This window comes from Homo sapiens, chromosome 15 (genome assembly GCF_000001405.40).
Source record: "Homo sapiens chromosome 15, GRCh38.p14 Primary Assembly".
Lineage (NCBI taxonomy): Eukaryota > Metazoa > Chordata > Mammalia > Primates > Hominidae > Homo > Homo sapiens.
Window position 1 is genome coordinate 82,831,845 of NC_000015.10, and position 20,688 is coordinate 82,852,532.

General features: G+C 45.7%; 2 protein-coding genes across 19 annotated transcripts in view, besides 3 other annotated features; one reads left to right on the top strand and one right to left on the bottom strand.

The window, feature by feature from the left end:
- WHAMM (WASP homolog associated with actin, golgi membranes and microtubules) overlaps positions 1–4,264 on the top strand; it is a 26,481-nt gene extending 22,217 nt beyond the window's left edge. For all 4 annotated transcript variants that reach the window (NM_001080435.3, XM_005272423.5, XM_005272421.5 and 1 more), the window contains one exon: positions 1,385–4,264. In NM_001080435.3, the coding sequence (NP_001073904.1) occupies positions 1,385–1,692 (308 nt within the window). In that variant the 3' untranslated portion in view covers positions 1,693–4,264. The remainder of the gene's footprint in view (positions 1–1,384) is intronic.
- Positions 442–1,641: an enhancer, noted in NCBI's record as "P300/CBP strongly-dependent group 1 enhancer chr15:83501038-83502237 (GRCh37/hg19 assembly coordinates)". NCBI's record gives its function as "activates an origin of replication core promoter dependent on BRD2, BRD4, P300/CBP, MED14 and CDK7 cofactors, with strong dependence on P300/CBP, by STARR-seq in HCT116 cells {active_cell/tissue: HCT116}" and the evidence as "EXISTENCE:reporter gene assay evidence [ECO:0000049][PMID:35650434]".
- Positions 755–954: an enhancer, noted in NCBI's record as "active region_9967". NCBI's record gives its function as "activates an Ori minimal core promoter by ATAC-STARR-seq in GM12878 lymphoblastoid cells {active_cell/tissue: GM12878}" and the evidence as "EXISTENCE:reporter gene assay evidence [ECO:0000049][PMID:35858748]".
- The window catches only part of HOMER2 (homer scaffold protein 2), a 151,497-nt gene continuing 133,625 nt past the window's right edge, over positions 2,817–20,688 (bottom strand). For 7 of the 15 annotated variants that reach the window (XM_005272449.5, XM_006720776.5, XM_047433361.1 and 4 more), the window contains 3 exons: positions 20,298–20,408; positions 19,307–19,387; positions 17,139–18,059 (listed from right to left, as the gene is read on the bottom strand). In XM_005272449.5, coding sequence (XP_005272506.1) covers positions 17,871–18,059; positions 19,307–19,387; positions 20,298–20,408 — 381 coding nt within the window. In that variant the 3' untranslated portion in view covers positions 17,139–17,870. Of the gene's footprint in view, positions 5,951–9,237; positions 15,404–17,138; positions 18,060–19,306; positions 19,388–20,297; positions 20,409–20,688 lie in introns of those variants that run through there. The other 8 variants (XM_047433360.1, XM_047433358.1, XM_047433355.1 and 5 more) reach the window with 2 other exon arrangements.
- Positions 17,957–18,732: an enhancer, noted in NCBI's record as "H3K27ac-H3K4me1 hESC enhancer chr15:83518553-83519328 (GRCh37/hg19 assembly coordinates)". NCBI's record gives its function as "activates a minimal SCP1, AML or CMV promoter by ChIP-STARR-seq in primed H9 embryonic stem cells {active_cell/tissue: H9 hESC(primed)}" and the evidence as "EXISTENCE:reporter gene assay evidence [ECO:0000049][PMID:30033119]".

A 20,688-nucleotide genomic window follows, 5' to 3' on the forward strand; every position in this document is an offset into this window, starting at 1 on the left:
AAAGTATGCTTAAGCACCTCCACCTAAACTGTGCAAGGTTACTGTAATAAGTGTTATGAATGATATAGCAGTTCCAAACTGTGATTCTGGTTAATTGAGCAATCTGGCTATTCTGAGTTCAGAGCTTCACTGTACCTAGAACCAGGTACAAATGAAAATGTTCATATATTAGGTGGAGACCCAATGGCCTGTTTCCATGGGGTTTGCAACAACTGCCCTGTGAATGAAAAGTAAAGAGTTCGCGTGGCTGTGTCTAGATCGGACTTTGGAAGTGGGCAGATCTTTGTGGGGTGCCACATTCCCAGCCCAGATTTAATGCACATGGTTTTGGGAAGTTCTGTTCAACTCACAAATGCTGCTAATTCACAGGAAAGAATAAGAAAGTGTGAATTTGCACCAGAGAATGCCCTTGATTGTGAAACCTGTCTCATTACCCCCAGAAAGAAATTGTAATAAGAAGGTATAAGTTTAAATCCAAAGCAAAATAGCCTTTTGTTAGCCACAGCACGGCCTTTCAATCCTGAACTAGAATTGATTATTAATCCTTGAAGCCTTACCTGGAAGATCTCTAAATTAGTGGCCACAGTCAGGCCTGTCTCCAGCAGGCGATAAAAGATTTTTACCCTCTCAGGGGTCTCCAGGTGCCAGAGTGAAAAATAGCTTCTCCTCACCAATGCCTTGAAGCTCTGATCTAATTGTGTTTTGACAGCATTTCACATCCTCAAAAATAAAGTATGTAAGCCACCTCAGGGTAATGTAGGTGGAATTAAACACATTATATACAGAAAAATGTGCCAGCACCACCCCTCCGGTGGCGGTTCATTGAGTTGCCGGTTAAAGTTTTATTTTAAGCCTTTTCATGTGTAGAAACCTACTCACTTCATTGTCATAGAATGAGTCATCACTGACTAATACCCAAGACTGAAGTTAAATTGAGCAGGATAAATTTTTTTTAAAAGATTTCTTTTAGCTGGACAGGGTAATGAAGGAGATACAGCTTCAGAGGTATCCAGGTCACGCACAGTGGGTGAGACTATTCCACCCCAGGCCTCCGTAACACTCTTCAGGATGGGAGGGACAGATCACATTTGTCTTGAAAAACCGTCATTCTAACAAAAGTGCATGTCTGTTCCTGTCAGTTGCTATGGATTTGAAGAAGTTAGCAGAAAGGAAGTGGTTAAGCTAAAACATGAGCTATTCAGCTGTCCTGGATTCAACCAGGGAGCTTATCGTTAGCACGTAATCAAGGCATTTGCTTAATGAAGTGATTATTTGTTTAAATCATGGTGTTAACTGATAGGAGATTTCACAATTTCATAGCAGTAATGTCCTGGGAAGGGAAAGTGTTTTATTGATAGTACTAGCTCTGCTTATTCAATTTCAGGATCTATGGATGAAGTGTTGGCCTCCTTAAGGCATGGCAGAGCTCCTCTCCGGAAGGTGGAAGTGCCGGCGGTGCGCCCTCCCCACGCCTCAATCAATGAGCACATTCTGGCTGCCATAAGGCAAGGGGTCAAACTGAAGAAAGTTCACCCTGATCTTGGCCCAAACCCCAGCAGCAAACCAACCAGCAACAGACGCACCAGTGACCTTGAGAGGAGCATCAAGGCTGCGCTCCAGAGAATCAAGAGGGTGTCTGCTGACTCTGAGGAGGACAGTGATGAGCAGGACCCTGGCCAGTGGGATGGTTAGGCTCAAGTTTGACAAAGGCACCTGCCACAGTAGGCTTGAATAAAGTGGGTGAGTCTTAGACCTATCGAAAAGCATACTAACAGGGTGCTGATAGATGGGCCACATAACACCCCGGAAGATCAGCAGGGCCTTGTGTAGGCTGCTGCAGCATTTTTTTTTTTTTTCTTTTTTGAGATGGAGTCTCACTCTGTCGCCCAGGCTGGGGTGCAGTGGCGCCATCTCGGCTCACCGCAAGCTCCGCTTCCCAGGCTGGGGTGCAGTGGTGCGATCTTGGCTCACTGCAAGCTCCGCCTCCTGGGTTCACGCCATTCTCCTGCCTCAGCCTCCCGAGTAGCTGGGACTACAGGCGCCACCACCTTGCCCAACTAATTTTTTGTATTTTTTAGTAGAGACGAGGTTTCACCGTGTTAGCCAGGATGGTCTCGATCTTCTGACCTCGTGATCCGCCTGCCTCAGACTCCCAAAGTGCTGGGATTACAGGTGTGAGCCACCACGCCCAGCCTTTTTTTTTTCTTTCTTTTGAGACAGAATCTCTCTGTCATCCAGGCTAGAGTGCAGTGGCACGATCTTGGCTTACTGCAACCTCCACCTCCCAGGTTCAAGCAATTCTCTGTCTCAGCCTCCCGAGTAGCTGGGATTACAGGCATGCACCACCACGCCTGGCTAATTTTTGTATATTTAAGTAGAGACAAGGTTTCGCTATGTTGGCCAGGCTGGTCTTGAACTCCTGACCTCGTGATCCACCTGCCTTGGCCACCCAAAGTGTTGGGATTATAGGCATGAGCCACCGTGCCTGGCTGATGCTGGAGCTTTTATGTGACATGGTGACTCTTAAAACTGGGGAGGGACGTAGAGATGAGAGTTTCACACACCAGCCCATAGGTGGGATGTCAAGACCCATCGGAAGTGTCGCTGGCCTAAGAGAAGAGCACTTATTTCTCACCATGGCTGATCTAGAATTGTTCCCTGATTCTGAAAGAAGTTTACACTACACTGGTAAGCAGTACTATTAGACTACTGACTGTGGCCTTCTGTGCATATGGAATAATGATTTCTCAGATTTGTAGGCTTGAATGTGAATGTTATTTTATCAGTAATCAGAATAAATTGCTTATATTCAGGAGTTATTTTAAATATTTAAATGAAATTTATTTTAGGCACCAAGCACTACATAAACTCATAATAACTATTTGCAATGCATTAGCATCACTCACGGGGTAATGAAAACATACCTTAGCTGCTGTAAAAGCAAAGTCTTCCGTGTCCGGGTGGGCTGAAAGTTTTTAATAAAATTTTAGCTAAACATTTGTTTAAGTGAATACTAAGGATGGAGCAATAGTGTTATTTTCCTCAGGAACTGAAGTCTCATGCTGAAGTATTTTCTCCTTAAAATTAAATTTTTAAAATCAGGGAAGGGGAAGGGACTGATGCAAAGCAGTCCGTTCATTTCTCAGACTGCGAGCATCCCTACTAACCTCATCACCCTCACTCTGGTGATATTACTCCTGGGTCTCCACAGAACAAAAGGAACGCACCTCGTTTACAAAGAAAGTCCTGATTGATATAGAACAGAAATCTTCCTACTTCAGTTTTTTTGTTTTTTTTTTTGAGACAGAGTCTTGCTCTGTCAACCAGGCTGGAGTGCGGTGGCACGATCTCAGCTCACTGCAACCTCTGCCTCCTGGGTTCAAGTGATTCTCCTGCCTCAGCCTCTCGAGTAGCTGGGACTACAGGCGTGTGCCACCACACCCAGCTAATTTTTATATTTTTAGTAGAGATGGGGTTTCACCATGTTGGCAGGATGGTCTCGATCTCTTGACCTCGTGATCCTCCCACCTTGGCCTCCCAAATGCTGGGGGTTACAGGCGTGAGCCACCACACCTGGCCTTCCAGTGTCTTAACTAACTGGTACACAGCAGCCTGAGGGGCCTCAGTTGGCACAGCTGGGAGGGGCGTGAGTCCCTTTCAGCAGCTGCAGCCTGGGTCTCCCTCTGTGGCATGGCCACTGCCAGGTTTCCCAGCCACTGCCAGGTTGCCCACGGGTCTGTCATGTGTGCTACCTTTTCAGAATGCAAATCCAACTCCTGTGTATGAATGAATGTGCCTCACTGTGCTGGCCCAGGCCTGATGGGCCAAGCCCTGACTCTGCACTGGCCCCTGTACCTGCCGCTCCCACCCAGGTTCCCAGGGGTGTTCCAGTGGGGGACGCAACCTGCGGGCTACTCGCTGGGCATCAGGTCCAGATCCCAGAGACAGGTCCAGTGGCTGTGGCCCAGGCCTCCTTCCCCACCACAGACAGGCCAGGCTCAGCATCAAACTTCCTAGGGAAAGAATTTGGAATTGAAAAAGTAGCAAAATCACAACTTTGTGGGACTTTTCTTATGCATATTTTGCAGTTTGGCATTGTTTGTAATTACGTATTTATAATTTCAGTATTTTGAGATACCAGCGAGCTTAATCAGGCTAAAATAATTCTCAGAATTTGCTTTCTAAGGGCTGCCAAACACAAGAGGCCTTTGAAAAAAGGATCCTTTTCAAAAGAACGTTCTCACAATAAAAATTCCTGGCCCAATTGTGTCTTCTGTGCATCAACGCTTCCTTTCCTCCTCTGGAACCTTCTCTCCTTCCTTTCTCCCTTTTCCTGCTTTTTCCAGCCAAGCCTTGAAGTCAATCCAGACTTTGGCTTCAGGGAATTCAGAGCCAAGGAAGTGGGGACAAGTGTCTCCTATTGCCCAGCTTCAGAGCTCTCCAGTCGGCCTCCAAAGCACTGCCAGTCTTCACCTCTCCCTGGCTTTCCAGCCCACACAGGAAGGGCAGCCCCTCAGCCTGGCAGACAAAACCCTCAGAGACTTGGTTGCCTCCCCTGGGCAGCCCCTGCCCCTGCCACAGGTTTTAGTCCAGCAATACCATGCTGCTTCCTGCCTGCCCCCAAAGGGCCTGCTCTCTTAAGTGCCTGGAATTCTCCCTGCACCCTTCATGTCCTGGCAAACCCATGCCCATCCTTAGGTCTCAACCCCACAGCCTTTTCCGCCAGGTCTTCTCTGACCTCTCTCTCCTATACAGCCATGTACTTTGTCTTGGGAGTCTGGTACAAAGGAGGACTGGCATCTGCTCCTAGTACAGCCAATCCTATGGATTGTCCTGGAGTGAAAAGCATTGAGCTAGGCCAGTCAGACTTGTGTATTCATCTGTTCGTCCATTCTCTCTTCAGAATTTGAACTAGGGAATCAGGCAGGTGGTAACGGCAGCCAGAATGAGGAGGTTATTGGTTAAAGGCCACATGGCATGTGAAACCCACGTAGTTGAGTGGATTTATGGGGCAGAGGCTCTCAGACCATAGGGTGTGTAAAAGCACATGAGAGTGCATTGGTTTTCTATTGCTGCCATAACAAATCACCACAAAAGTAGCTGCTTAAAAGACAAATTTCTTATCTTACAGTTCCATAGTCAGAAGTCTGACATGGGTCTCACTGGGCTAAAATCAAGGTGTTGACAGGGCTGTGTTCTCTTCTAAAGGCTCCGGGGAGAAGCCATTTCCTTGCCCTTTCTGGTTTCTAGAGGTTGCCCCTGTTCCTTGGCTTGTGGCCCCTTCCTCCACCTTCAGTGCCAGCAGCATCGTATCTGACCCTTCTTCCATCATCACATCTCTTTCTGACCCAAGGAAAGGTTCTCTGCTGCTGCTGAGAACTTGTGTGATTAGTCTGGGCCCACCCGGATAATCCAGGATCATCTCTCCATCTGAAGGGCCCTTTTGCCAACTATGGTAACATAGCCACAGGTTCCAGGGATTAGGATGTGGACATCTTTGGGGACCATTATTCTGTCTAGTAAAAGGAGCTTTCTAGAATGAAGATTTCCAGGCCCAGAATGCAAGGGTCCTCATCCAGGTTTTTTTGGGATGGGCCGGCAACACAAATAGTTCTGAAGCAGCTGCTCTGCAGATTGTCCTTAGAAAAATGCTACTACACAAAAGTCAGAGGACCTTAGTGGGCTGGTGACGCAGGAACAGCGAAGCAGGTACACTTAGAGCCACCGTGGGCTCCTCCTGGGGTCAGCGATCCTGAAGCCTGGTATTCATGAGGTCTTCAGAATGTCCCAGGTCGTCCCAAGTCTGGAGAAGTGGGGTGCACACTGGCCTCTGTCGTCGGCTGCCTATGAGAGCTCTGCCTTGTGGGGGAGCCTCCAAAATCCCCCATCAGCTGAGTTCCATGAACGCCTGCAATGGAGCAGCTCACCCCTCCACTGGAACAGAGCAGATCTGGGGAAAGTAATAGTCTTCTTACTGTGGTGTTCCCAGGGCCTGGGCATGAGGGTGCACAATAAATATTTGCTAAATGAAAACATGAATGAATGATTTAACAGCTGTAAGTATGAAAAGGACGATGGAAGAGGCACAAGTCCCCCTCCCTGGTAGTGGTTTAGTTTCATCCGGAGGGCTGGGGCCTTTGGGGCCTAAAAGAGGAATGGAGTTGGAGCAGGAAAGGATTCCAGGGATGGAACAGCATAAGCAAGAAGAACACAGGGAGAGTGCACAGCAAGGCCTGGGCAGGCAGGGGAAGAGCCTGCAGGGTCCTAGGACCTGATCTGTCTATGCTTTAGGAAGAAGCCTCTGGCAGCTCTGCATTAAAGGAATACGAAAACGGAGGAGATCCTGGAGGGTACGGGAACAGGGTAGGCATGGGCCGGTCAGAGCAGCGGTAGAGTGAAGAGATGACATGGCAAGATGGAGAAGCACAAGACTGTGTAACCTACTGTGCAATAAGCAAGAGAAAGGGCACAGAGATGGTAACAACTCTGGCAGGCGCAGCGGGGCCACTGCTGGGAAGTAGGGGGTAGAACTGTGGCTCTCGGCAATGCAAACAGCATCGGTGGCAGCCACAGAATTATTTCCACTCAGTGGTCTTGACTCCCGTGCAAACACACATTGGGCTTATCTAGCAGTCCCTTCAAGTTAAATGAAGTCATTGTGGCGCCAGACAGGGCATGGCTACAGGGAGGGCCCAGGCAGGCAGAGCCAAGTACAGCTTCATGGAGATTCCTACAGCACAGAACAGCTAATTCCTATGTCCCAAGCATGGGATGGAGGCATGAGGTATCCAGCGGGGTAGGAAACGGGGATATCTCAGCAGACGTGAATCCCCTCCCCTTAACATGTTGGAATATGTAAGCTCCCCAGAACTGTAAAGGACTCTCCTCTGGAGAAAGGGGAGTGCTGAAGCTGACTGAGTCAAATTGCATGAGCCTGGTGGAACAGGGGCTCAAAAATCAACACTCACTTGAATGAAGGAAAAATAGAGAAGGTCCTATTTCTTTTACTCTTGAGCTGAGGGCTGGGATTCACCACTCCTACACATTTGGGAAAAGCCGGTTCTGTGTTTGATACAGACTTTGCCATGTGAATAGCCTGTTCCAACAGCTCTGGAAAAACCTTTTCTGGTGGGGGCTGTGTATGGTGGCTTGCACCTGTGATTCTGGCATTGTGGAAGGCCAAGGCAGGAGGATCATTTGAGCCCAGGAGTCAGGACCAGCCTGGAAAACATGGCGGGACTCTGACTCTACAGAAAAAAAAAACCAAAATCTTATCTGGTGGAATGAGTCTCTGAGATTAGCTTTTACCCCAATAGCCAGGCATATAAAGCTACATTCTCCTGCCTTCTCAGAAGGCTAGTCCCCACAGAAGAAAAGTGCCTCATAGGTTGCCTTTGTGTGGGCCCTACTGAGGCAGAATATGACCAGATGAAGGGCAGGCATCCCCTAAACATCCCTAAGCATGGGGTTGCCCCAAAGCAAGAACCAGAAACATTGGCACACTCAAAAAATCCCAAGCCTAATATGCCCCAGCCCCCACTTCCACTTATGCTTTGGTTCAGGAGTAGCCTGCAAGGACATTAGCCTACTTAGGGAGATCAAGAACTTCCAAAGTATCTTGTCAAGATACAAAGGATTTCTGAAAGATTTCTGTTGACTTAAAAACAGACACAAATATTTTACTGAACTATGTATTTCTACAGAAACTATTACAACAAAATCAGGTAAAATTCACAAAGGTATACAAGCCTTTAAAGGAAAATATTTTTTCCCTTAAATATAAAAAGATCATTTGCCAAATAACATCAAAAAGAAACAAAGCAAAAACTGTTAGAAACAAAAGAAACAGACAGAAATACAATAATAGGAGACGAACATATCTTTCTTAGCCTTAATGAATCAAGTAAATTAAAATTAAAGGTCCATAATATTATACTTTGTAAGGTCAAATGAATACATCTGATTGAATTTTGTTCCCTTCAGAGAATATGCTTTCTTCTTCAGTTTCCTGGAGATATGTATTAAAACTAAAAATCAGGTCTCAAGAAAACATCCATGATCTCCAAAATGCACACAAATTGTACAGGCCATACTCTCTTTGACAAGGCAATAAAACTAGAAGTTTGTAAGAAATGCTAAAAAACAACAACAAAATAAACTACCTGGAAATTTAAAAGTATAATTTCAAAAAACTCCAGTAAAAAATAAAGTCAAATCTGAAATTATAAATTATTTATAACTTAGAACACTAAATATAAATTTAAGAGATATGGATAAAGATGTATTTAGAGGAAAAGTCGTACCTTACAATGTTAGTAACTGTCTTTTATTAAGTAAGAAAAAGTTAAAATGGCATGTAACTTAAGAAGGTGGGAAAATAATAAAGGAAAAAATTAAGAACAAAACGAAAAGAATCATGAAATAGTAAAACAGTAAAATTAAGATATAAATCTCAGAGTTGGTTATTTGAAAAGATCAATGAAACAGAGTAATTCTGGAAAAACCAATGAGAACAAAAAGGGAAAGCACACGCAACATGGGAATGAGGAAGCAGAATACTACAACTCCAGGCCAACAAATCTGAAAATAGAACAGAATCACTATTTAGGAAAATTCACTTAATTAAAAAAAATTTTTTTTTGAGAAAGGGTCTTGCTCTGTGTCCCAGGCATGCTCACGGCTCACTGCAGCTTCGGCCCCCAGGGCTCAAGTGATCCTACTGCTTCAGCCTCCTGAGTAGCTGGGACTACAGGCACACACCACCATGCCTAGCTAATTTTTAGTAGCGACTATGTTGCCCAGGCTGATTGTGAACTCCTGGGCTCAAGCAATCTTCCTGCCTCCGCCTCCAGAAGTGCTGGGATTACAAGCATGAGCCACTGTGCTTAGCCGGGAAAATTTAAATTGCCAAAAACTTACAGAATAGAAATAAAGTTTGAAGAAAATAATGAGCATGAAAAAAATTAAAAAAAAACAACAACCCCATATTTCCTAAAAAGGCACTACTAGATTTGGACAGTTTCATACATGTTATAAAAACTTCAAAGAGCAAAAAATTCTAAATATTTAAATGTTTCCAGGGCATAGAAAAACAGAGCTTCCCAAGTTCTTTTTAATTTTTTTAAGAAGTTAACAAACACCAATAACTGACAAAGCAGAAAAAAAATTACCCAACTATTCATCTTATTTAGGTATGAAAAATTCCATAATAAAATGAGAAAACCAAATCCAGAAGAATTTCACAATTTAAAGCTCTTATTTTTATTATACAAGTAATACACAATCTTTGTAGAAAAATCAGAAAGTACAGATAAGAAACACAAAATAAAAATCTACTATGGACCAACCAATCATAAATAACCACTGTTAACATTGAAAGGAGATGTATATTAAAAGAATAGTATACTATGACTACATCAGATTCTTGTAGAAATGCAGAGATGTCTTAACATTAGCAAATCTATTAAAACGATTCATCTAAAGTCATAATAGAGAAAAGCCAGTTGATCATCTTGACAGATGTGGAAAAAAGCCATTTAATAAAACCCCAACATCCATTACTAATAATATTTTCATCAAACTAGAAATAGAGGGCATAACCTGAATGTATAATTCAAATATTAAGATTATTTTACACTAAGAGTCAAATTTATAGTTTTGGAGAAACACTCTTCTAAGTAAAAAAAATTTGATATATATATATCAAATAATGTACAATATCAGCACAATTATGTAAATGTTTTTTAACATTGTTCTAAAAGTACCAGTCAATGTGATGAGTTGAGAAAGTGAAATAAGATTACAAATATGGGAATAAAATTATCAACCTACCCAGAACTATTACCCAACTGAAAAAGGCGAAAGAAATTAACAACAGCAAAACCTTTAGAATAATTCAGTAACTGGCTAGTTACAAAATCAATAACCAATCGCCAAGTTAAACTATTATACAACTACACACTACTCTCTTATGCAGAGGTAAGAATGAGGTAGATTGATGTGTACTGACATAGGAAGATCTATTGCAAAGAGAAAAATGCTAACAGCAGAAGGGTTGTCTCATATGGTCAAAGTGCTAAAACATACTTTAGGAAAAAACTGATGAATATGCTGTTGACTTTTTCTGGGGGAAAGGGATTTTAATTATGGGGGACTTTAATTTTCTACATTATGTTTTTAAATAATGTTTACACTTACATAAGTCTAATGTTTTAAAGTCATAAAAGCGATAGATTTAATTTTCATTTTTTAAAGTAGTAGGATCTCATTTACAATAGTAACCACACTAAAAAAATCACCTATACTAGAAAAGATAGGCTGAGAAACATAAAACATAAATTTACTGAAAGGTTAAATATTATAAAGATGTTAGTCCTCTTGTGTAAAATATGTAAATTTTACTCAATCCAATTTCTAATTTTTCTAAACATAAAATTATCTCAAACTTCTTTTGGAAGGTTTTTTTTTTGTTTTGTTTTTTGTTTTTTTGAGACAGAGTCTCGCTCCGTTGCCCAGGCTGGTGCTATCTCAGCTCACTGCAACCTCTGCCTCCTGGGTTCACTGCCTCAGCCTCCCAAGTAGCTGAGATTACAGGTTCCTATCACCACAGCCAGCTAATTTTTTTTTTTTTTTTTTTTTTTTGTATTTTTAGTAGAGATGGGGTTTCGCCATGTTATCCAGGCTGGTCTCGAACTCCTGATCTCAGGTGATCCATCCACCTTGGCCTCCCAAAGTGCTGGGATTACAGGCGTGAGCCACCATGCCCGGCCTGCACAATATACTAGGCAAGTTTTGAAAAAGTTTAATGGGGAAGTTTAGTCCAAAGCTATGGCGATCCAAACAATGTGGTACCAGTGCTAGAATGTGCAGGAAGATCACAACCCATAATAAAGAGTTCACAGCACACTCAAGGCCAGGGTGCTTATCCTGGCACCCAACAGAAGGGCTACTAGGTGTATGGCAAAAATGGGATTTCATATAGAATAAAGGACAGACTTCCCAATAAACAGTGTTGGGGTAATTTAGAAAATACATTCCAGATAGATCAGAGGTTTTTAAAATTTTTTTTAGAGACAGGGTCTTGCTCTGTTCCCCAGGCTGGAGTGCACCGGTGCCATCAAAGCTCACTGTAACCTCAAATGCCTGGACTCAAGTGATCCTTCCACCTTGGCGACCCAAAGTGTTGGGATTACAGGCAAGAGCCAACACGCCCAGCCAGATCACAGATTTAACTGTTTAGAAAGAAATAATAAAAGTACAAGAATAAGATAGTGGTGAATATTTATACAACCTTGCCATCAGAATTGGGAAGACCTCGCCGGGCTTGGTGGCTCACACCTGTAATTCCAGCACTTTGGGAGGCCAAGGCGTGTGGATTGCCTGAGTTCAGGAGTTCGAGACCAGCCTAGGCAACATGGCGAAACCCATCTCTACTAAAAACAAAAAGTTACCTGGGCGTGGTGGCATACACTTGTAGTCCCAGCTACTCAGGAGGGAGGTTGACACATGAGAATCGCTTGAACCCGGGAGGCGCAGGTTGCAGTGAGCTGAGATCACGCCACTGCACTCCAGCCTGGGGGCCAGGGTGGACCCCGTCTCAAAAAAAAAAAAAAAAAAAAAAAAAAAAAAGAATTGGAAAGACCTGCATAAGCATGACGGCATAGGTAGCAACCATTAAAAAAAAAAAAAAAAGTAACAGATAAACTTGACTAAAAGGTGTTTTTTTAAATGTCTAAACGTTTTTAAAAAGCCATACGTGCAACTTAAAATTTTGTTTTACAATGTTTATGAAATAAACCTCTTAGAAATCAATGATACTGCTGAACACCTTAAAGGGTTACATTTTAACCAAAAAAATATTTTTTTTAGCTCTCTGTCCCCAGGGTAACTCCAGTGTTAAAGAGGAAGCAGTACACACTCACACACTGTGGGTGGGAGTATAATTGGGTCTGTCTTTCTGGAAGGCAATTTGAGGCAATACATATTACAAGTCCTAAAAATGTGCATTCTTTTTTATTGTTGCAACAGGATATGTTATGCTGCAGTTAACCAATTAACCCTGAAACCCCAGTGTTTAACACCTAAGGTTTATTTTTTTTATTCATGCTACCCGTCCATGCAGGGTGGCAGGTGAGGGTAACATGAAGGGAGAAGGGGGCTGCTCCACGTAGTCACTCAGGGATCCAGGCTTGACAGAGGCTCTGTCCCTGGGACATCAGCATTTGCTGAGGGAAGGGAAGGCAGACACTGCGGAACTGCTCATGGGCATTTCAGTGTCTGTCTGGAGCTTCATGTGTCACCTGTGCTCACATTTCATTGGCCAGAATTAGTCATAGGACCCTGAATGAGTACAAGGGGGATGGAGGGTGAAGTCCTGTATGCCTCAGAAGGAAAGGAGCCGCAGATAGGGAGGCGCGTACTTTTGAGCCAGTGATAACTTCAGAAAATTACCCTAAGTCAATATTCTGAAAAGTTCGCAAGGATGTTAGAAGAACTTCATTATGTCCTTGACTACAACAGTAAAAAAATTGGAAACAACCTAAGTATCCAAGGTACAACCTACATAGAGGTTAAAAATAATGTAATTACATATTTACTGATATAGAAATCTATTCACAATATAGCATTAAAAGGGATAAAAGTTATAAAACAGTATGTATAATATGATTATATTTCATGGAAAAAGTAATAAAACACACACAGATGCATAGAAAAAAGTCTGAAAAGATAAAAACTGAAATGTTAACAGTGGTTATAATCAGATAGTGTAATAACAGGTGATTGGTTTTTTTCCCACTCATCTGGAATTTCTTTAAAAAAAGTATTATATTATTTATGTACCAAGAAAGCATTTAAAAAGGGAAACAAAAAACAGTACTCTTGGGAGAGTTCACTTATCCACTCCACTCTTCTCATTAAACTCTTATATTTGATGCAAGGAATGTCTTCTTGCCTGTCACATCATAAGACGCTGCTCTCACAACTGACGTAAAGTCGGGACTTCCTATTAAAAGCAGTACAAGAGGGTAAAAACAATAGCACAGCCTCACAGCTGTGAATCATCAGTCCTGCCCATCACTCGCCAAAACATGCACCACTTGGGACTCTGCCGTGGTTTACGGGCTCCTGCCAGGTGCCCTGGGGGTCTCTAGGGCCCAGGAGAACACTTTGCCGCAAGGCTCTGCACCGTCAAAGAGAGTAGGGCACTGAACAATTCCACTTCAAACAAAAGATCCACAAACTTCTGGTAAATGGATTCCAGAACATAGATCACCACCACCAGAAATAGAAAATAAAGTCTCCTCTTAGGTATACATATTTTTAATTAAAAACGCTTCCTTACTGTTTCTCCCACTTCCCCTTTTGCTGTTTCTTCACACACACACACACACACACACACACACACACACACACACACGCGTGCGCACATACACAGTCGTAAGTTCACTAGAACATTTCATCCAGCTCAAAATTCTTACCAAAGCCACCTTCCTGCCTGGGTAGTGTTTAAAGCCAACTAGAAAACCCATATTCTTGAGATCGGTACATGGAAGAGGCATGTAAGTAACATTTTCTAGACTAGACAGGAGTCCCTCTCCATGCCAAAACCCCCATCATCTCCAGAATATATACTGTTTCTTTGGGGAAGCCATGTACTCAGAAATTAGGGTCCTTTTAAAGCATGCATATCTTTAAAAATATACATGGACATTGATCTTGCAAGCTTCTAGTTTGCAAGTGCTTCAAAATCTAGTGATGTCTCAAGGCAATGAAAGAATTTAGCTTCTAGAAGGATGAATGGAACAAACAATCCACTTCTGGATATTAGCAAAGACCAGTGGCTGCCTCTTTTGAGTGCCTGTGCTAAGTCACATCACGTCTGCCTTCTTCCCAAAGGTGCACCTGGCCACATGTGAGGTCCCACCATAACGTCCCCAGCGCGTCCTGTGGTTGGCTCTCATCCAAAATTGTCCCTGGTTTCTATAGAGAAGGAGACTTTTCTAAAGAAAAAGAGCCCTGTTAAAATAGGCAGAGCATGATGTTTCTGGGAGGCATATTCACTGTATTACGCTCCACCCTTTACTTGATGTTTTGCATCAAATGTAGTCCACAGCAGGCAGGCGCCTGCCCACCACCATCAAGGCTGTGCTCATGGAGCCTGCAGGCTGGAGACCAACTGCCCTCTGTGCACAGTCTTCCTGGGTGTTGATCAGGTCCCGTTCAAGCTGCTCCCACCACTGAGCAAGGCTGCTCCCTCCCCAGAAAGCCAGAAAGGAGTGCATCTCCAGGAAGGGGCGGGCAGTGGACAGGCCACCCCCAGCCAGAACTCTGTTTCCATTCCTGCGATCTCAGGGCCTCCCACTTGTTTTGAACATACTGCTCTGCCTCCACTAAAGCCATCAATAAAGAACTCAGGGTGTGTTTGTTTTCCATAGAACTGGCCTCACAGGCAGAGACATCATTTTAACCAACTTTCTTGGAAAGATTCCTGCAAAACCAGAATCATTCCAAAGTGGAACTTATCATTTATAACAAACATTCCTAAATGTCATTCGGATTCACATTTTTGTAAACTGTCCTTTGCTGTGGACACATATTGAAATAATATAATTGTAATATGCTCTTATCAGGATATAAGAATTATTTTCTCTTGGCACCCACGGGTCACCAAAGGGACTAGAGTGGCATGTCTCAAAAGATACTGCATCAAGGTCCAGGAGACCTGGATGCAGAGTCCACGCTGCTGGTCACCGCTGGGTGACCCTGGGCGTGTCACTTTCTCTGTCTCTACTTCCCATCTGCAAAATGCAGGTGACAGTCTCTGCCCTGTTCTCTCACCCAATTAAAGTCTAATGTGATGGCAGGCAGGAGAGATGAAACTGAGGGGCCACACAAGTTCGAGGTCTTGTGTGGATACTGGTTCTCTTTCCCTCCAAGGCCTGACCATACTGTCCCAACCTGTTGCTCTGGTGGTTTTACATTCCCCGGGCGGCACTAGGAAGGCTTCCTCGCCACTCCCAACTTTAAAATGCATCCAGCTGGGTCTTGACTGGAATGAAAGGTTATTTTTAAAGGTCCTCTTGGTTAAAGGGTTCCAAGTTTTAGTTGATCTTTTTTAGACACCAGGTTTCATGGAGGCAGAAGGAAAGCTTATCAAGGTATAGCAGCCAGTCTTGGAAACACCAAAATCAGGAGACCTCAATTGCAAACTGAAAATGCAGTCCTGGCCCTGCAGCTTCCAGGCAGCACAAGCGGCTGCGATGCTCACGAGTGAATGGCTTACATTCTGCCTGAGTCTGGCGTAAGGTTATGACAACAGTACTGAGACTGGGCTGGATGTCAGAATAAACGAGGGCACGTCACACCAGCTCAAGGGAACACCGTCCAGGTTGCTCCAGGGCCACTATTTTAAAAGAAAGTAAATGAAAAGACACTGAGATCTTCAGAGAAAAGCAGAAGGAATGGAAAGTTCAGTGCTTTTGTAAAAGCTGTTGTGCTTTCACGGCCAAGCCCAACTTACCTTTCCCTTTAAGGGAGTCCTTACTACTCTTAGCTCCAGGGTTGCAACAGCTGTAGAGCTGGACACACAGCAGGAGGAATCCAAGTTCCTCACCTGCTGCCCACAGGATGCTCACCACACTCTTCAGTGCTTGGTGAACTGGGATCATGGGTCTCAACTGCACAGCAGCCCACTGTGGAAATGGCTCTTCCAACATTTTCTACACCTCCACTTCTGGAGTTTTCTAAAGTCACTGCTATCAGAATGTACAAGTGGCTTCAGTAACTATTCTATGCATGTCACCTGAGCATTCTCTTGTCAGTCAAGCGGGCTCTTTCTAGATTCATAAGTCACCTGATAAAGGCAGAGGTCATCTGAAGACCCCAGCGGAAGGTGTTTGGAACCCAGTGTCCACTGCTCCCAGGCAGCCACACACCCAGCCTGCTGCTGGGCAGACCAGGCTGGCTTGAGAATCCCCTTATCCCGCTGCTGGGCCACGGGGCTGACTCATAGCCAGCTCGGCTCTCTGGTCTCCTGGTGCAGCCAGGAGGGAGCTGCTACCAACTGTCCTGAGAGCCGTCTGGAGCTCTGGGGAAAGGGAAGGGCCAGCAGCAGACTACCCCGAATCACAAAGATGGCTGGCCACGCTTTCCACTTCCTGTCTGCCAAAAGCCCTATGTACTCAACCAAAGCCCCCACTCACCTTGCGGGAGCTCCTCTAAAAGTGCCTTGGTGCTCCAGATGCCCAGCCTTCCCTTCCATCCACATCCCAAACAAGACTCCCCAGCTCAGAGAGGCGTCTCCGTGAGGGGAAGGGAAGGAGAGCAGGAGGACTCGTGTTCACCTTGGGGCCCAGGGCACCTGGGTTCGGACCCCATCTCCCTCCTTCCTCGGGTTGTTTGCTCATTAATCCAAATTCAGCAGGGAGAAAGTCTAACCACGTCCATGGGAGAAGGTTTCTAGAAGGAGTAGTCCTCTTAGGTGGTTCTCAAAGGGGTGAGGGGGCACCAAAGCCTCCCCCCTGCTCAAGGCATTTAGAGATGTGTGGGGCCAGGGATTCAAGCCATTATTGCCACACACGGGCAATCTCCCAGGGCAGGATGCCAACAGCACCCACAGGCCCGCTGGCCCCACTGAGCAGCTCTGTGAGAGAGGAGAGGTTTATGGCTGCAGTCCCTTCCCTAGGAGAAACTGAAAAAGGCAGGACGCAGAGCTGGGTGGAACACCTCTGTCATGAGGGCCAAGGCTTGTCAGCTGAGCTGCTCTCTCCCCCCGAAATGCCTGTGATTTCTTCCCAGCTGTCCAGACCCATAAGACAATCCTACCCTAGGTACCAAGCCCTGGGCAGCCCCTATACCTGGAATCCCTGGGTCACCATTCCTAGGGGAGAAGGTGATTCGAGGGTCTGGAGAGCCCCAGGGGCAGAGCATCACGGATGGGCTCCAGGGGCCTGAGACCAGCTCCTGCTGCTTCCCCTTCTCCCTCCCTGCCCCAGGGCCACCCGAGCCCCAGCTTGGGTTTGACCAGACAGTGGTATTCATGTCTGTTAACTACCCAGCACAGCAAAGATGGTGCATCATTCGACAGGGTCCCAGCTCTGCTGTGGGGTTTGATTAAAACACTAAATTCTGTGTACACATTTAATTGAACAAATATTTATTAAGCACCTACTTTGTGCCAGACATTGTGCTAGGCACCCTCACTGTGTGCTGTTCCCACAGCACAATCATCTGCTCAGAAATTAAAACCAAGAAAAGGAACACTGTTGCAACCGTACAAACTGGGGGGGCGGGGGGCAGGGGGCAGTAGCGTGGATGCAGGCAACTCCGGGCCAGAAAATGCACCCACCAGAAGCTTGTTTTCCATCTCTCAGAAAGTTTCCACTAAACAGTTGTTTTAAAGCCTCTCGATGTTGACAGAGAGGAATGTTGTTCTCTCTGTGCCCCCCGGGGCTGGTGTCTGGTGGACATTCAAATACTCTGAATGCTATTTGATAAAAGGAGCCTGATGGCTTGGTGTAAAGAATATCAATATTTGGATTACAAAATGCGTGTTTTTTCAGTTCATATGGTTGCAACAGCCCTTATGAAAGATATAAACATCCCTGCCCTGACTGCATAAATGTTGAAGGTAGACCTAGTTCTGGATTCCTGAGTCAGAATCTTCCAGTTGTCCACAACCTCACAAGGCCAGAGAAGCGAGAGGAGATTTCTATTCTGAAAAGGAGTGAGTGGACGGCACAACTGGTTTGGAAACACGACAAACTGCGCCTGCATTTACAGAAGCAATGCACACAGAAGAACGTCCTAGAGCTATCTGGTCTCGCACACACGCTTGGGACTCACGGGCGGGGCCTGGGCCTCGGCCAGCCCTAGTTATCGGTGCCCAGCTTGGAGAGCCCTCGGCGGAAGTCATGCAGGTCGTCAATCTTCCCGTCCAGCACCTCCAGGAAGCTCTTCAACTCCACCTTCAGGTGGCGCTGTCGGTATTTGCTCTCCTCAATGTCTGTCTTTAAGGAACGCACTTTGTCTTCCAGGTTTTGATTGTCTCTCTCTGCCGCCTGGCCAAGCAAAAGGGAGAAGGGTCTAGAAAACTGAGTGACGAGAGTCATCCTTCAAAACCTGCTACAGCTGAACCAACCATTCTCCATCCAATCTGAGGGCCTGGGCCAGGGCTTAAGCTGCCTAGAGACATGCTACCCCAGCACACAAGCCTGTGACCAAGACATCAGAAGGGAAGCAGCAGGCACTTCAGTGACCTCCTCCTTTCCTGCCTGCTCTCCCACAGAGGGACCAACACCCAGCCTGAAAACCCAAGACCCAACAAAGCAGGCAGAACGCAGAGTCCTGCCTGAGGGAGACCTCACACAGGGCCCAGCAGGGAAAGTCTGAAATCCCTGTCTGAGTGGCTAGCAGAGACCACATTTCAGTTCCATCCTGAGAGACAGAACAGATGGGAGAGTGGCTCGTTCCCCTGGTCCCACAGAGAGGCGTGGCCTCCTCAGCCCCAGGCCAGCCTCTGGCCCTCAGAGAGGAAGGACTGGCCATGCCAATGACTCAGGGACAGCCAGTCTGTGCACCCTCTGATGCTGTTACCATGGAGATGTTCTGTGGCGCTGGGCCCCACAAGCCTACAGAGGCACATCTAGGTAAATCACAAGCAGGTTCCCAAAGACAGGACAGCTGTGAGTCCTTAAATGAGCCATAAGCCTTTAACTCTTCATATCAAATAAGAGCTTTATGTTGAGGGAATAAACAGAGACCTTTCTGAACATGTGCACAGGAAGCAGTTACCAATTCCAGGGTCATGTAACTACATGAAGCGCCGTGTGCATATCAGAGGACCTGCAGGGAAGAGGCGCTCCGAGGTGGAGGAAGCCCTGAAAATCCTCATTTTAGTGATCAGAAATCTGAGGATAGGGAGGAAGGCCTGCCCAAGGTCAGTGCCCAAGGCCACTGGCAGGGGAGTGGCTGAAGTGGCCCCACACCCTGACCCTGGGCTCTCAGGCCGCCCCCCCGCTCCTCACCCCCACCAGGGATCTGCAAGGAAACAGTCGTCTACACTGTGGTGATGCACAGGGGCCTTCATAGAACTTGCAAAACCAAAAGACAAACGTTGCTGAGTCTGCCCCGGGGGCAGGGGTGGATGCGGTGCCATCTGGCGTGCAGTCACTGCCAGCTTTTTGTGAATAGAAAATCTCTCCTTCAGCATTCTCAGTGTGAAAGTGATAGGAAGCAGGAAAATGAGTACCATGACATTTGTGCCTTCTTGTCTGAGCCAGGATGGCTGTGCCCCCAACCCACGTACCTCTAGCTTCTCAGAGACATATTCGCACTCTGACATGAGCTGAGGTATGATTTCACTTTGTTTTCGGAGATCTTTCAGCTCCTACATGAAAAAAATTTGAGATAGAACATGAAAGCAAGTCAGATAAAATATATTCTTGAAAATCACCAATGTGTGCACGCTCGTGGAAGCAGCTTTGGGACCCTGTCCTGTTTGCATAGACAGTGATAGTGACCATGCGAATACTTCATCTCAGGGAATTTCAAGGGTGAAGTGTGTCACACGCCTTGTCACGTGAAGTCTGTACACACCACCACAAGGCAGATGTTTTTCCGATTTCTGTTTTATAAGTGGAGAAAGTGAGGCCTAGGGAGTTTGGTAACATGAGCACGGCCTCCAACATGTGTGCACTTAACTGTCTGCCCCCTAGAAAATAAATGACTGTAGGCCAGGCATGGTGGCAGTGAGTGCAGGTGGCTGGCGCCGGGAGCTGGGCTGCGGTGTGGTGGGCACGTGTGTGTGGTGCTCTCATGGCGTGTGTCTATAGTCCCAGCTACACAGGAGGCTGAGGTGGGCGGAATGCTTCAGCCCAGTTCAAGACCAGCCTGGGCAACATAATGAGACTCCATCTTAAATAAAATAAATACATTTTAAATTTTTTTAAAAAAGAAAATAAGTGGTTACATCATGGGTCTCTAGCGGCATTAATTTGGCAGCAAAACTCAACTTCTGAGGACAGATGACAAACGCATCTGAGTGTCTTGTGAAATGTTCAGCTCCCTTGTGGATCTGCACGACCAGCTATAGAACAGGGGTAACAGGGAGGCGGCAGAGGTCATGGGGAGGCCTTTGCTCCAGCCTGTCTGCACCTTGCTGTGGCTCCCAGCTCTCTCTCCGTGCTGCTATCCAGGCAGCTGCCAGGGCCAGTCATAGGCCCCAAGACACCTGCTGTGTGCCACCCCGCAAGGCCAAGAGGACGCCAAGGGGCCCTGCTCGGAGCACCATTACTCACTGTCTCCTTTTCTCGGAGCTCTGCCTCCAGCTCCTCGATCCTCCTCTTCAGCTGCGTGTTCTTCTCCTTCTCTCTGTTGATCTCACTGCATTGTTCTTCCAGCTCATCAATCTTCAATACACACCACACAGGAAAGCAGGGACGCCAGCTTAACATTAGTCATTAAGCAAGAGATCACCACAGCTATGCTTCTCTTTTCTTTTAAAATAAACCCTAAACTAATCCACTTATAAGATTTTCTTTGTGGCTATGAACAAACCCCATGCAGCTCCATCATGGGGCTGCCTGCACCGCTTGCATGGGACCTGCTTTGCACATGATGCCTTACCAGAGGCATCTTACCAGCAGAGCCAAATAAGTAATAAAGCCTGCCTTCAAGATGCTCTGGGCT